This window comes from Homo sapiens, chromosome 17 (assembly GCF_000001405.40).
Source record: "Homo sapiens chromosome 17, GRCh38.p14 Primary Assembly".
Taxonomy (NCBI): domain Eukaryota; kingdom Metazoa; phylum Chordata; class Mammalia; order Primates; family Hominidae; genus Homo; species Homo sapiens.
The window spans coordinates 41936059-41952034 of record NC_000017.11 but is presented as its reverse complement, the minus strand read 5'-3'; the positions used below and the strand labels follow the sequence as shown (position 1 = coordinate 41952034).

The following is a 15976-nucleotide window of genomic DNA, read 5'->3' as shown; positions in this document are numbered from 1 at the left end:
GTAAAGATGAGATCTCCCTATGTTGCCCAGGCTGGTATCAAACTCCTGGGCTCAACCGATCCTCCCACCTTGGCTTCCCAAAGTGCCAGGATTATAAGTGTTAGCCACTATGGCCAGGCTAATTTTTTTTTTTTTTTTTTTTTTTTTTTTTGCGACAGAGTCTCGTTCTTTCACCCAGACTGGAGCACAGTGGCGCAATCTGGGCTCACTGCAACCTCCGCCTCCTGGATTCAAGCAGTTCTCCTGCCTCAGCCTCCCGAGTAGTTGGGACTACAGGCGTGTGCCACCACACCTGGCTAATTTTTGTATTTTTAGTAGAGACGAGGTTTCACCTTGTTGGTCAGGCTGGTACCAAACTCCTGACCTCAGGTGATCCACCTGCCTCGGCCTCCCAAAGTGCTGGGATTACATGCGTGAGCCACCGTGCCTGTCCCCAGCCTAATTTTTAACTGAGTATGTAATTTAAAGTTATCTCAATGTGACAGGAAAACCACTTGACCCCGGGAGGCGGAGGTTGCAGTGAGCCAAGATCGCGCCACTGCATTCCAGACTGGGCAACAGAGTGAGACGCCTTCTCAAAAAAATAAATAAATAAAGTTCACCGGCTTGTAAGGATAAAGTTCAATGATTTTGAGAAAATTTACAGAGTTGAGGCCGGGCACAGTGGCTCACAACTGTAATCCCAGCACTTTGGGAGGCTGAAGCAGGCAGATCACGAGGTCAAGAGTTCAAGACCAGCCTGACCAACTTGGTGAAATCCCGTCTCTACTAAAAATACAAACATTAGCCAGGTGTGGTGGCGCACGCCTGTAATCCCAGCTACTCAGGAGACTGAGGCAGGAGAATAGCTTGAACACGGGAGGCGGAGGTTGCAGTGAGCCAAGATTGTGCCACTGCACTCCAGTCTAGGTGACAGAGCAAGACTCCATCTCAAAAAAAAAAAAGAAGAAAATTTACAGAGTTGTACAGTGGCCACCACAATCCCATTTTAGAACATTTCCATCACTCTGAAAGGTTCCCTTGGAGGCCGGGTGCAGTGGCTTATGCCTATAATCCCAGCACTTTGGGAGGCAGAGGCGGGCAGATCACTTGAGGTCAGAAGTTCGAGACCAGCCTGACCAACATGGTGAAACCCCATCTCTACAAAAATACAAAAAAATTAGCCAGGAGTGGTGGCACACGCCTGTAATCCCAGCTACTCGGAAGGCTGAGACAGCAGAATCGCTTGAACCCAGGAGACAGAGGTTGCAGTGAGCCGAGATTGTGTCACTACACTCCAGCCTGGGTGACACAGCAAGACTCCATCTCAAAAAATAAAAATAAAGAAATAAAATAAATTAAAAAATAAAAGGTTTCCTCGGCCAGGCGCAGTGGCTCACACCTGTAATCCCAGCACTTTGGTAGGCTGAGGTGGGTGGATCACTTGAGGCCAGGAGTTTGAAACCAGCCAACATAGTGAAACTGCATCTCTAAAAATACAAAGACATAGCTGGGTATTATGGTGCACACATGTAATCCCAGCTACTCAGGAAGCTGAGGCACAGGAATCATTTGAACCCATGAGGCAGAGGTTGCAGTGAGCTGAGATCGCGCCACTGCACTCCAGCCTGGGTGACAGAGTGAGTCTCCATCTCAAAAAAAAAAAAAAAGCTTCCCTCATAGGACTTGGGGAGTCTACTGGACCTCTCTGTGCCTCAGTTTCCCTATCTCTAAAATAAGGATGATAATGCCTACCTACATCATAATGATTCAATACAAGAATGCTGGCTGGGTGTGGTGGCTCATGCCTGTAATCCCAGCACTTTGGGAAGCTGAGGCGGGTGGATCACCTGAGGTCAGGAGTTCGAGAACAGCCTGGCCAACGTGGTGAAACCCCGTCTCTACTAAAAATACAAAAATTAGCCGGGTGTGGTGGTGCGCGCCTGTAATCCCAGCTACCCTGGAGGCTGAAGCAGGAGAATCGCTTGAACCCGGGAGGCCAAGGTTGCAGTGAGCTGAGATCGTGCCCCTGCAGTCTAGCCTGGGTAACATAGTGAGACTTCGTCTCAAAAAACAAAACAGGGCCGGGCATGGTGGCTCACGCCTGTAATCCTAGCACTTTGGGAGGCCGAGGCGTTTGGATCACCTGAGGTCAGGAATTTGAGACCAGCCTAGCCAACATGGTGAAACCCTGTCTCTACTAAAAACACAAAAAATTAGCCAGGTGTGGTGGCAGACGCCTGTAATCCCAGCTACTTGGGAGCCTGAAGCAGAAGAATCACTTGAACCTGGGAGGCAGAGGTTGCAATGAGCCGAGATCGCACCACTGCACTCCAGCCTGGGCAACAAAAGCGAAACTCTGTCTCAAAAACAAAATGAAACAAAACAAAAAAAAAGTACCAAGGCAGAAGGAAAGTGGCTCAATACATGGGCACTGTTGTGAGGATGACACGATGCTGTGTGGGTCTGCAGCTGACCTCCTCAAGGGCAGAGGTAGGCTCAAGGTACCCCAAGCTCTAACCAAGCTTTGCTTAATGAAAGCACTTACCACGTGCTGGTCAAAATAGAGTGGCTTATCCCCACTCTCAGAATAATCTGGGAAGGAGAAACACTGGGATGGTAAACTCAGTCCACAAGACTCCTAGCCCTGGTGTGAGCTGGGCCTGAAGGCTGGAAAAGGTAGGGTGGTCATCTCTGAGCCCATACCTTGTGCCTGGGCCACCAGAACACTGGCATTCAGTTGCCACTCAATGTCCCCTTCCTCCTCGGCACACTGCTGGGACTTCTCGCCATAATTCTGGGCCTGCCAGGCCTGGTCCAGCTCCAAGTAGCAGCGGCCGATCTCGTGGAACAGCCAGGTCTTCTCCAGGGTGGTTTTTGCCAGAGGGATCTTTTCTTCCCACCTGGGGACATGAAGAACCAGAGTCAGCTTCATCCCCCAAAACCATGCACTGGGCCACAGGATGCCAAGGCTTCCTGCTGGGTGGCGGAATAAAACTTGTTCTCCAGCTACCAGTTCTTTTGGATACAAGGGTGGAGTTCATAAGCATAAAGATATTTTAAGACTACTGAGACTATTTTGGTAACACCTATGGAATGTGGAATTTAATACAACAGTTGAGGCTGGCGTGGTGGCTCATGTCTCTAGCGCTTTGGGAGGCTGAAGTGGGCAGATCACCTGAGGTCAGGAGTTCGAGATCAGCCTAGACAAGCTGGCAAAACCCTGTCTGTCTACTAAAAATACAAAAATTAGCCAGGCATGGTGGCAGGCGCCTGTAGTCCAGCTACTCGGGAGGCTGAGGCAGAAGAATCACTTGAACCCGGGAGGTGGAGGTTGCAGTGAGCCAAGATTATGCCACTGCACTCCAGCCTGGGTGACAGAGCAAGACTCCATCTCAAAACACACACACATACACACAACATAAATAATGTTTAAGAATATTATTACCAAGTATGGTGGCTCATTCCTGTAACCCCAGCCTTTGGGAAGCCAACGTGGGTGGATTGCTTGAGCCAAGGAGTTCAAGCCTGGGCAACATGGCAAAACCCCATCTCTACAAAAAAATACAAAATTTAGCCAGGCACAGTGGTGTGCGCCTGTAGCCCAGCTACTTGGGAGGCTAAGGTAGGGGGATCGCTTAAGCCTGAGAGGTTGAAATTGCAGTGAGCTATAATCGTGCCACTGCACTCCCACCTGGGTGACAAAGTGAGACCCTGTCTCAAAAAAAAAAAAAGGAAAGAAAGAAAAAAATTACTAAGAATATATGAGAGAAAAATCAAAACAAAAAAGATTGGAATGAAAAAACACAGTATCAATAAAAGAGTAGGATTAGAATTAGTACTTGTCTTTGGGTGGTGAGACTGAATACTTTTCTCTATTTTTCTGTATTTTCCAAATTAATATTTTTTATTTTTATTTTTATTTATTTATTTTTTTGAGATGGAGTTTTGCTCTTGTTGCCCAGTCTGGAGTGCAATGGCAAGATCTCTGCTCACTGCAACCTCCACCTCCCGGGTTCAAGTGATTCTCCTGCCTCAGCCTCCCAAGTAGCTGGGATTACAGGCATGTGCCACCACACCTGGCCAATTTTGTATTTTTAGTAGAAACGGGGTTTCTCCATGTTGGTCAGGCTGGTCTTGAACTCCCGACCTCAGGCGATCACCCGCCTCAGCCTCCCAAAGTGCTGGGATTACAGGCGTGAGCCACCGCACCCAGCCATTTTATTTTTATTTTATTTTATTTTATTTTATTTTTTCTTTGAGACAGAGTTTCGCTCTTGTTGCCCAGGCTAGAGTGCAGTGGCGCCATCTCAGCTCACTGCAACCTCCGCCTCCCAGATTCAAGTGATTCTCTTGCCTCAGCCTCCTGAGTAGCTGGGATTACAGGAGTGTGCCACCACGCCTGGCTAATTTTGCATTTTTAATAGGGACGGGGTTTCCCCACGTTGGCCAGGCTGGTCTGAACTCCGGACCTCAGGAGGTCCGCCCACCTCGGCCTCCCAAAGTGCTGGGATTACAGGCGTGAGCCACCACACCTGGCCTGTGCTTATTTTTTATTTATTTATTTTTTTGAGACAGAGTCTTGCTGCGTCACCCAGGCTGGAGTGCAGTGGCGTGATCTCGGCTCACTTCAACCTTCGCCTCCTGGGTTCAAGCAATTCTCCTGCCTCAGCCTCCTGTGTAGCTGGGATTACAGGTGCACGCCACCATGCCTGGCTAACTTTTGTATTTTTTTTCTTTTTTTTTAGTAGAGACAGTGTTTCACCATGTTGGCCAGGCTGGTCTCGAACTCCTGACCTTGTGATCCGCTCGCCTCTGCCTCCCAAAGTGCTGGGATTACAGGCGTGAGCCACCGCGCCCGGCCTGGCCTGCGCTTATTATTAAAATATTAATTTGGAAAATGCACACCCGGGCACAGTGGCTCATGCCTGTAATCCCAGCACTTTGGGAGGCTGAGGTGGGCGGATCACCTGAGGTCGGGAGTTGGAGACCAGCCTGACCAACGCGGGGAAACCCCGTCTCTACTAAAAATACAAAATTAGCCAGGCGTGGTGGCGGGCGCCTGTAGTCCCCACTACTCAGGAGGCTGAGGCGGGAGAATGGCGTGAACCCGGGAGGTGGAGCTTGCAGTGAGCCGAGATCACGCCACTGCACTCCAGCGTGGGGGACAGAGCGAGACTCCGTCTCAAAAAAAAAAAAGAAAAGAAAAATTAGCCGGACATGGTGGCACACAACTGTAGTCCCAGCTACTTGGGAGGCTGAGGCAGGAGAGAATCGCTTGAACCTGGAAGGTGGAGGTTGCCATGAGCTGAGATCACGCCTCTGCACTCCAGCCTGGGTGACAGAGTGAGACTCCTTCTCAAAAATAAAATAACATAAAATAAAAATAAAAACAACATAACATAACATAAAATAAAATAGTGATAAATTGAGCTGGGTGCGGTGGCTCACGCCTGTAATCCCAGCACTTTGGGACGCCATGGCGGGTGAATCACCTGAGGTCAGGAGTTTGAGACCAGCCTGACCAATATGGTGAAACCTCGTCTTTACTAAAAATACAAAAATTAGCTGGGCGTGGTGGCGGGCGCCTGTAGTGCCAGCTACTCGGGAAGCTGAGACAGGAGAATTGCTTGAACCTAGAGGCAGAGGTTGCAGTGAGCTGAGATTGTGCCATTGCACTCCAGCCTGGGTGACAGAGTGAGACTCCGTCTCAAAACAAACAAACAAACAAAAAAAAGTGATAAATTGGCAGCCAGTGTCATGGAGAGGGCATTTCCTGATGGTCCACACCTGTCGCACTAAAGTGTTAACTGAATGTAGGTGCCAGGGAGAAGCAACTTCCCAGGCATGCACATTAAGAGACAAAATGGTGGAGCTTGACCTTCGGGGGGCACTCCACTGGTGAGAGGAAGAAAGCCTCAGATAAGCATGCATGCCACTTCCTCAACACACTGTGCGTGCTCACCTCCCAAGGGTAAGGAGGGCACTGCACATATGGGCAGCCAACCCTAAGGGAAGAATCAGGGGAAAGGGGCCAGTTTGTAAAGTCCTAGGATCAAGGTTAAACACCAACACTGCATTTGTCCTTCTCAGTGCCCACTTGGGTCTCTTCCAAGTATACGTTCCTTTCTTTCCTGCCCTAAAGGTTTTTTTTTGAGACTGTATCTTGCTCTGTCGCCCAGGCTGGAGTGCAGCGGCATGATCTCAGCTCACTGCAACCTCCGCCTTCCGGGTTCAAGCGATTCTCCTGCCTCAGCCTCCCGAGCAGCTGGGACTACAGGCACGTGCCAACGTGTTCGGCTAATTTTTGTATTTTTTCAGTAGAGACAGGGTTTTGCCATGTTGGCCAGGCTGGTCTCGAACTCCTGACCTCAAGTGATCCGCCTGCCTCGGCCTCCCAAAGTGCTGGGATTACAGGCATGAGCCACTGCGCCCGGCCTAGCTTTTTAATAAATTCCCATTCCTCATTCAAATTCTTTCTTCTGAGGAGGCAAGAATTGAGGTTGCTGCAGACCTGTACAGATTCACCGGCAATAACTTGGATACCTTCCACTGGTAACATATTGTCTAGGCTGGAGTGCAGTAGTGTGATCATGTCTCACTGCAGCCTCAACCTCCCAGGCTCATGTAATCCTCCTACCTCAGCCTCCCAAGTAGCTGGGACCACAGGCACAGGACAGTATGCGCGGCTAATTTTTTTTTTTTTTTTTTTGTAGAGAGGGAGTCTTCCTATGTTGCCCAGGCTGGATTCTTATTACCGGAAACAAATTTTCATGTTATGGTGAGAAGTTCTAACCATGGAGGTGGGGAAGAGGCAATTCTTGGTCACTCACGTGTCAATGGCTTGCTGGAATTTCCCAACTCTGGCAAAAACTCTGCCAATGTTGTCAAGGGCTCTCGATTTTGCATCAGGAAGGTCACTGTGGGGAAGAAGCAAAACAAGCCATTCACTAGAAATCAGCTGTTCTAGGCACTGTGGAAATAGGAAAGAAGGCAAAGACAGGAGCCCTGGCCTCAGAAACTCAGGGTTTCAGTTGGAGGGACAATGTCCAGCCCAGCAAGGATGTGGCACATCTGTGCCCTGGGGCCAAGAATGAACATTATCAGGACTTTTCTGGAGAGTAATCAATCAACAGCTTGCAAAGATGTCCCTTTGAACCAGCAATTGCCTTTCTAGGAATCTACCTCAAAAAGATAATGTGACAAGAACAGTCATTAAAGCACAGTTTATAATAATAAGCATTAAAAATAATTACTTTTTTTTTTTGAGACAGAGTCTCACTCTGTTGCCCAGGCTGGAGGGCAGTGCCATGATCTTGGCTCACTGCAACTCTACCTGCCGGGTTCAAGCAATTCTCCTGCCTCAGCCCCTGAGTTGCTGGGATTACAGGTGCCCGCCACCACACCCAGCTAATTTTTATATTTTTAGTAGAGACAAGCTTGCCGCCATGTCGGAAAGGCTGGTCTCAAAGTCCTGATCTCAGGTGATCTACCCACCTTGGCCTCCCAAAGTGCTGGGATTACAGATGTGAGCCACTGCACCTGGCCAAAAAAAATAATCTAAATGTTATCAGTGCTCTAAGAAAGGCAATTTCTGTGTATGCGGGGGGGTGTGTGTGTGTGTGTGTGTGTGTGTGTGTGTGTGTGTGTGTGTGTGTGTGTGTATGTGTGTTTGGGGTTTGTTTGTTTTTTGAGACAGAGTCTCGCTGTGTCACCCAGGTTGGAGTGCGGTGGCACAATCTTGGCTCACTGCAGCCTCCGCCTCCGGGGTTCAAGTGACTCTCATGCCTCAGCCACTGAGTAGCAGGGACTCCAGGCACATGCCACCACGCCCAGCTAATTTTTTTTTTTTTTTTTTGAGACGGAGTTTCACTCTTGTGGCCCAGGCTGGAGTGCAATAGCACGATCTCAGCTCACTGCAACCTTCACCTCCAGGATTCAAGTAATTCTCCTGCCTCAGCTCCCTGAGTAACTAAGATTACAGGCATGTGCCACCACGCCTGGCTAATTTTGTATTTTTAGTAGAGACAGGGTTTCTTCATGTTGGCCAGGCTGGTCTTGAACTCCTGACCTCGTGATTCACCCGCCTCGGCCTCCCAACAGTTTTTGTATTTTTAATAGAGATGGAGTTTTGCCACGTTTCCTAGGCTGGTCTCAAACCCCTGGCCTCCATAGTTCCCTGCAGCCTTAAACTCTTGGGCTCAAGGGATCCTCCTGACTCAGCCTCCTGAGTAACTAGGTCTATATGCTCAAGAAACCACATCTGACTAATTTGCCCAGGCTGTTCTCAAACTCCTGGTCTCAGGCAATCCTCCTGCCTAAGCCTCCCATGTCAGGCCTCTGAGCCCAAGCTAAGCCATCATATCTCCTGTGACCTGCACGTATACAACCAGATGGCCCGAAGTAACTGAAGAATCACAAAAGAAGTGAAAATAGCCTTAACTGATGACATTCCACCATTGTGATTTGTTCCTGCTCCACCCTGATACGATATATTCTCCCTCACCCTCAAGAAGGTACTTTGTAATATTCTCCCCCTCCCTTAAGAATGTATTTTGTACACCTATCCCAAACCTATAAGAACTAATGATAATCCCACCACCCTTTGCTGACTCTCTTTTCGGACTCAGCCCGCCTGCACCCAGGTGAAATAAACAGCCTTGTTGCTCACACAAAGCCTGTTTGGTGGTCTCTTCACATGGACACGTGTGACATCCCAAAGTGCTGGAATTACAGGCATGAGCCACTGTGCTTGGCCTGTGGTTATATTTGAGAGGAAGACATATTCTTTTTTAAAAAAATAAAAAAATAGCAAGGAACTGCTTTGGTTTTAAAAAATCCTGCATATGTACATGAGTATGTAGGTAAACACATTGAAAAGGAGCCAGAGGACACATTCCAACAACATCATCCTGGGAAGTGACGGGAAGTGGGTTGCGGGGGACAACTTTCAGGTTTTGCTCTCAGTACCACGCAGTTCTGGTTCAAGCCTGCAAGCCTGACATTATAGTACTTGTGTAAAAACAAAACGCGGGCACAATGGTTCATGCCAGTAGACCCAGCTACTCAGGAGGGTGAGGTAGGAAGATTGCTTGGGCCTAGGAGTTGGAGGCTGCAGTGAAATATGATTGCACCACTACACTCCAGCCTGGGCAGCAGAGCAATACCCTGTTGCTAAAAAACAAAACAAAAAAAACAAAACACACACACAAAAACACTGGGCCTCAGTGCCTGAGGGCTGAACCGGTTTCGAGGCATGGCATCCAGACCTCCCACTGCCTGCAGGCCCTGGTCCCTAGCCCTGCCACACCTAACCTACCTATGGTTCTCCAAGTCCTCCATCCCTGCCACATCTTTCTGCCCTGCCCAAGGTCCCCTTCTCCCTCCCCCTTGCCCACCTTGCTGACCCTGCTGCCTTCCCTGAGGCCCCTGCCAAGCTCCCACCTGCCTGTCTCCTTGGCCCCTGGGCCACACTGTGCACCTGCTGCTGTCACAGCCCGTCGGAGTGGATCCCCTCTTCTAGAGTGGGTACTCTGTTCTGGCGAGTTGAATGAGTGAATAAGCTGTAATATGTCCATTTTTCATAACAATATGTACTAAAAATCATAATAGCAAAAATAAAGCATGTGATCAAATAATTTATAGATTATTCAGAGAAATAAATGAGTGCCGTGGGCACTGAAAAAACCACTTAGACTAGTAAGTGGCTAATCTAGCAAGTGGCTGATTAGAATGAGGGAGCTCCTGGAGCACATGGGACTCACAAGGAAGACTGGAGTAAGCCTGGGTGAGGCTCATTTGTGGATGTTAAAAACTAATAGCCCGGGCATGGTGGCTCACACCTGTCATCCTAGCACTTTGGGAGGCTGAGGTGGGCGGATCACCTGAGGTCAGGAGTTAGAGACTAGCCTGGCTAACATGGTGAAACCCCATCTCTACTAAAAACACAAAATTAGCCGGGCTGCCAATAATCCCAGCTACTTGGGAGGCTGAGGCAGAAGAATCACTTGAACCAGGGAGGCGGAGGTTGCAGGTTGCAGTGAGCCGAGATCACTCCATTGCACTCCAGCCTGGGCAAGAAGAGTGAAACTCCATCTCAAATTATTCAGTCACTTAGCACACATTCATTACATGCCCACTGTGTGGCAGATGCTGGGAATAGCACCTTCCAAAGTCCAAAGTCTAACAGGACAGAAAGGCTACCTGTGGAGAGGGAGCCTAGGGGAGGGATTTGTAACCCCTGGGGCAGCAGGCAGGCTTTTCTTTTCTCTCTTTTTTTTTTTTTTTTTGAGACGGAGTCTCGCTCTGTCGCCCAGTCACTATCTCGGCTCACTGCAAGCTCCGCCTCCTGGGTTCACGCCATTCTCCTGCCTCAGCCTCCCAAGTAGCTGGGACTACAGGCGCACACCACCACACCCGGCTAACACTACGCCCGGCTAATTTTTTTTGTATTTTTAGTAGAGATGGGGTTTCACCGTGTTAGCCAGGATGGTCTCGATCTCCTGACCTCGTGATCCACCCACCTTGGCCTCCCAAAATGCTGGGATTACAGGCGTGAGCCACCGCTCAGGCTAGGAGGCAGGCTTTTCAACCTTTATTGAAATGTTGAAGAATGGGTGGCGGCAGCTTGATAAAGCAAGTGCTGGGAAAAGGGAAAGCATTCCTGGGGCTGGAGGATATGCACAGAGCTCTGCACTGGCTGGGGCCCAGAATGCCTGGGGGCCTGGAGAAAGCCAGGTCAAGACAGGCCAGGAGAAGTCAAGTGAAGAAGGGCAACCTGTGTTGAGCAGGGCATTGAAATTTCATCCCAACCACAGGAGTTGTTTTTCAGAGAAAGGACAGCTGAACTGTAGGAAGCCCAGGTCAGAGGAAACAGGCAAGAAGTAAGGATGGTCTGGACTGAGTTGTGGGAGGGAAACAGAGAAAGTATGGACAGGACAAGACATGGCCATTGCTGGGCATGAACAGTGAGGGGGCCAAGCGCAGTGGCTCACGCCTGTCATCCAGACCAACTTGAGCGATATGGCAAAAACAGAGAGGGGAAGGAGGTATCTGGGAAGCCTCCGGTCTTCTGGCTTGGGACTCAGTGGCCAACAGTGCTATCCTCGGGGATGGGGAACCCTCAAGAAGTAAGTTTGGGAGGAAGATAAGGGATTCCGATTTGGACATGTTAAGTTTAGGATTCCTGTGGGACATCCAGATGGAAATGTCTTAGAATCTGCTGGACACACAGGTCTGAGGCTCAGGAGAGAGGTCTGGCGAGAAGTAAAGATTTCTAACTCATTTGTGCATGGGAGATGGTTGGATCCAAGGTACCATATATATACATCACATCTAATCCCCACAGTCCCTGTGGGTTGGTATTATTATGCCTTCATTAGAGATGAGGAAACTGAGTAGAGGAGCAACTTAATCAAATCCACACAGCTTCTAAGTGGCAGAGCCAGTTAGAAGACAGGGATCGAAGACAGGTCTGTCCCTAAAGCTATTTTTTTCTAATATGGGATGGCCAGTATGGGATATTCCTGCTCAGCACAGTGGAGGCAGGCGAGAAATGAACTGGGAATGGAAAGCATATGGGGCTTGGATCAGTGAAGAGGAAAGGGCAGGAGGCAGGAATGTTCAGGAACGTTTGACCCCAAGGGAAGATTGCTATAAGAGGGCCAGGGTGGGTTTAGAGAGGGCCTGAGGGCCAAGCAAAGGGGCTTGACCTTTAACCTGCAGGCAGTGAGGGGCCCAGGCCCACTTGTGAGCAGGGGAGGGAGAGTTCATAGCATGTGTCTCTGGAGATTTGTGGGAGGAGCTGGAGAGAGACAGCAGAGGCAGGGGAAGCAGCAGGACTCAGGTCGGCTGAGGGCTGGGCACTGTGAGGGCAAATGGGATGATGGGAGATCAAGGAGGCTCAGACTGGTGAGATGGGTAGAAACCAGGCAGGAGGAAGTCAAGAATGACTCCAAAGGGTAGAACCAGGATGCTGAGAAAGCGATGGAACCTCCGGGTGGAAGTCAGCAAGTCTTGAGAAGATCTCATTTCTGGAGAGCTGGTGTTACTACTATTGTGGATACCAGGCACTGTCCTAAGGTCTGCACAGGTACTTCTGTATTTCATCCTCCCTTCTGCCCTACAGGGTGCCCAGCTAACAGGAGGAGACCCTGAGGCTGAGGGAGCTAAAGTGGCTTATCTCAGGTTCCACGGCTGGGCGGTGCAAGTTCCACAGCCTAGGTCTGCCTGACTCCACAGCCCGTGCTCTTGATCAGCACCGGTTTTAAAAGACCCTGCTTGATCCATCCCCTGCCCACTTCCTTCAGCCTCCTCTTGGCCCCTCTCCCTGGCAATATGCTGTGCTCTCCAGGCTTAAGTACCCTCCTGTCTCAGGGCCTTTCCATAGGCCCTGTGTGTTCCCCAATGTCATCAAGTCCTCCTGGAATGTATTTCTCACCACACTGGATCCTGTACTTTTCTTTCATGGCACTTATCACAATTGCAATTAATTAGCTATGTCCCTTTTTGCTTGACATCTGCAGGGAAATGGCCCTTGTGTCTGGTTATTACTGTGTTCCCACACTAGCAGCATCTGGCATGTCTGGGGCTTCATGCATGCTCGTTAAGCTGATGTAAGAATATAAACATCCCTAAGAGCCAGATCATTGGGTAGCTTTTTGGAATTTTGAGCCACTACCCTTTTGGTGGCAAAAAAGCTAACAGTCTAGGTGCCCCCACCCTCAGTCCTGGGCAGGTGGTCCCCACCTCCAGGAGAATCTACCTCAGGCATGCAGAGCAGAAAATGGGAGTCAAGCCACCAGCAGCCCTGGCAAGGGCCTCAGATAGCCCCAGGTGTCCTTCTCCGTAGGCTCACGCCAGTGGCCTCCCCTAGGGCACTCACTATTCCTTGGCGATCTCCAGGTCCTTTCTGTGGCTCTGCAGGGCTGCCTCCATCTGCCCCAGCTCAATCTGGGCATTCCCTATGCAGCTATACAAGTTTCCAACCAGTTCATCCTTGTTGGGTACCTCTTCCTTGTTCCATTCCAGTACCTTCTTCAGCACTTTCTCAGCTTTCTGAAGACTCCCTTCAGCACTGCCACTTGTGAGCACTGAGAAAGGAAAGGGGTGCTGTGGAGGCCAGGGCAGCCTCCTCTTAGCTGACAGGGTAACTCCTCTTCCTGCAGACACCATCTGCAGGTCTGAGAGACCAGGGGCTCAGACACCTGGTTGCTCCTTCCCCACCTGATAAGGCACTGGAGGCACCTGCCCCACCCTCTGAGAACAACACCTACACATATCAATGTCCTCCAGGCTCTTGAGGATGTAATGGGCTGTCTGTGAGGGACGGCGTTTGTGGTCCCGCAGCCATTTCTCTTGCATCAGCTTCCGGTCCCGCTCCCTGGCGTAGATCGGCTTCTGCTGCCTCCAGAAGTTGCTGTGAGTATCCAGGTAGTTGATGCCCGTCATGATGAGGTCCTCCACAGTCAGGCCGCCCTTCATGGTGCCTTTGATCAGGTCTGTGGGGAAGGGGTGTGAGGAGGCGCCAAGGAGAACAGGCCTCTAAGGGATTTGCCTCCTGTTTCCTCCCGGTGGCCGCTGCAGGGCCCTCTGTGAACTTGCTCTGCTTGGAGTTGTTGAAACAGAGAGGAGTGTGAGTGCGCATAGTGGCAGAGTGGGTTTATCCAGGCCAGGAGGCAGCCAGAGCCCCACTATCAGGGAGTTCCATGCTATGGGCCCCTTATGGCAAGATATGAGGAGCTAGCCAGAAGGGGCAGCTGGTGGATGGCTCGCTGAGAAGCCTCGGGGCTTCCCCAGTTCAAGCTGTGTCCTCAGATAACACTGAGTCTAAATGCACGATCTGGCCCAGGCTGCCAGTGCCCAGTGATTTCCCAGGTGCCCAGTGGGCCTGTGCATGCTGGAAGCTGGAAGGCGGGTGCCCAAGTCCTGCCCACTGCCTGGCCAGAGGTTACAGCCAGAAGCAAAGCTACAAGGCCACTTGAGGTAATATTCAAGCCACCTCTTCCCTCCGCAGCGGGTCCTCTGGAGAATAGGAGGCATTCAGGCCTGTTGCTAAGGAGATGTGCCAGCAGTGAAGCTGTTCCTGTGTCACAGAACAGGGAACCCTACACATGACCTTGGGAAGCCAATTCTGGAGAAGAGGCATTTGATTCACAGGTGACCCTGCTCAGGCTTATCAGCTAATGGCAATACTCCCATCCCCATGTTGATGTGGGACATTCATCTCAGGCTTCTGTCCTTCATCCTGTCACTGGCAGCAGTGTGGTGGAAAGAGCACTGGACTGGCCAGGTGTAGTGGCTCACACCTGTAATCCCAGCACTTTGGGAGGCCGAGGTGGGCAGATCACTTGAGGTCAGGAGTTCAAAACCAGCCTGGCCAACATGGTGAAACCCCATCTCTGCTAAAAATACAAAAAATTAGCCGGATGTGGTTGTGGGCGCCTATAGTCCTAGCTACTAGGGAGGCTGAGGCAGGAGAATCGCTTTAACCCAGGAGGTGGAGGTGGCAGTGAGCCGAATTTGCTTCACTGCACTCCAGCCTGTGTGACAGAGCAAGACTCTGTCTTTAAAAGAAAGAGCACTGGACTGGAGGTCAGAGGCCTGGGTTCTGATGTTGACTCCACCATGAACTTGTTTGTCAACTTATGAAAGTTCCTTCCCAATCAGGGTCTCTATTTCCTTATCTACAAAAGGAGAACTTGGACCAGATGATGTTTCAGAGCATTCTAGAACTAATATCCTCGGATTTAAGCACATATCCGCTGGATTCCTTTGCCCATTGTAAGGATTGAAGGCAAAGGGGATGTCCCTTCAGGGACTATGGTGGTAAAGGAGACCAAATCTCTGTTGTTCCCTCCCAGGGTACCATAGCACTTAGGAGCATTGCTCTAAAATTGGACTTCCTGGATTCGAATATAAGCCATGTCATTGCCTACCTATATATGACCTTAGTTTCTGTTGGTCTGCGCCTCAGTTTCCTCATCTGTAAAATGAGAATGCTAATAAAACCTGTCCACAGGTACACGTCAGCTAATATTATATGACAGGTTCTGCCTTCAGCTCATGCATGAAGCATCCACCCAGATTTCCTTTCCCCCAAGGCCCCGTGCCAACAAAGTGTCCGAAACCTTCATCCAATAGGAGCTTCTCCAAATACTCTTTGTCCACGTAGAGCTCCCCCAGAAGCTGGCGGACAGTCTTCTCACTCTTGAGCGAGGCCTTCCACTTGGGCTCTCCCTTGGTGGGGTGTAAGAGGTGTTTCATGGGCTGAGGCTTCTGCTGGGCTTTTATATTCTGAGAAAATGGAGCAACACCCAACAGAGCTTCAGCAAGGAGCAGAGTGTACCCAGCCATGGCCCTAGGGTCTGTGATCCCAGATTCCTCCAACTCCAGGACCTTTCTGTGGGCCAAGAGTCACGGAGTATGCCTGGTCAGGTTGCAGCTAGACTCCCAAGACCCCTTCTCAGGCACACATAGCCTCTTCCCTTGGAGGGATACAACCACAGAACCAGGGCCCTTACCTCAGCCTGCTTGCTTAAGAAGGAGAGGTCCCCTTTGTTCTCCAGCTTAATGGAAGAAGGACCTGCAAGGAAAGAAGCTGGAGCTCAGGTCGGCCAGACCCCCCAGGCATGACTTATCACATATTTTTATGTAGAAATGGCTGCCTTTGGCAGGGGGATGGTGGAGGCTGTGGCAAAGCTGGCCCTAAGCCAGCCTAGCAGGCAAATGGTGCAGGCTGTTTGGTATAACTCCTAGGAGCTAACAGCCCCCGCTAGCCCAAGGCTATGGCAGCCAGATTTCCAAACAAAGGGAGGCCAAGGATGCAGGGGAAACTGTCCATTTCCAGGCCTTGCCACCGACAGAGCAAGCTCTCACTTGCTCTCACTTGCTTCCCTTCTCCCCCTGCCATAATGCTGATGGCTAAGGCCAGCCCTTGGTATGCGTCTGGTGAGGAAAGAAGCCAGGGACTATAGAAGGCTGGGCTCAGGACCGCATT

General features: G+C 50.3%; 1 protein-coding gene across 5 annotated transcripts in view, besides 1 other annotated feature; it reads right to left on the bottom strand.

The window, feature by feature from the left end:
• Positions 1–15976, bottom strand: part of ODAD4 (outer dynein arm docking complex subunit 4) — a 35887-nt gene that overhangs the window by 14469 nt on the left and 5442 nt on the right. For 3 of the 5 annotated variants that reach the window (NR_146622.2, NM_031421.5, NM_001350319.2), the window contains exons 4-9: positions 15501–15562; positions 15108–15273; positions 13254–13478; positions 12863–13070; positions 6813–6899; positions 2686–2882 (exon numbers count right to left, since the gene is read on the bottom strand). Coding sequence is in view for 2 of the 5 variants with exons in the window: in NM_031421.5 (NP_113609.1) it covers positions 2686–2882; positions 6813–6899; positions 12863–13070; positions 13254–13478; positions 15108–15273; positions 15501–15562 (945 nt within the window). In the remaining 3 variants the exon portion in view is untranslated. The remainder of the gene's footprint in view (positions 1–2685; positions 2883–6812; positions 6900–12862; positions 13071–13253; positions 13479–15107; positions 15274–15500; positions 15563–15976) is intronic. The other 2 variants (NR_146621.2, NR_110662.3) reach the window with 1 other exon arrangement.
• Positions 5322–5473: a silencer, noted in NCBI's record as "fragment chr17:40102816-40102967 (GRCh37/hg19 assembly coordinates)". NCBI's record gives its function as "represses an EF-1alpha promoter that drives an FKBP-Casp9 reporter gene in an ReSE screen in K562 erythroleukemia cells {active_cell/tissue: K562}" and the evidence as "EXISTENCE:reporter gene assay evidence [ECO:0000049][PMID:32094911]".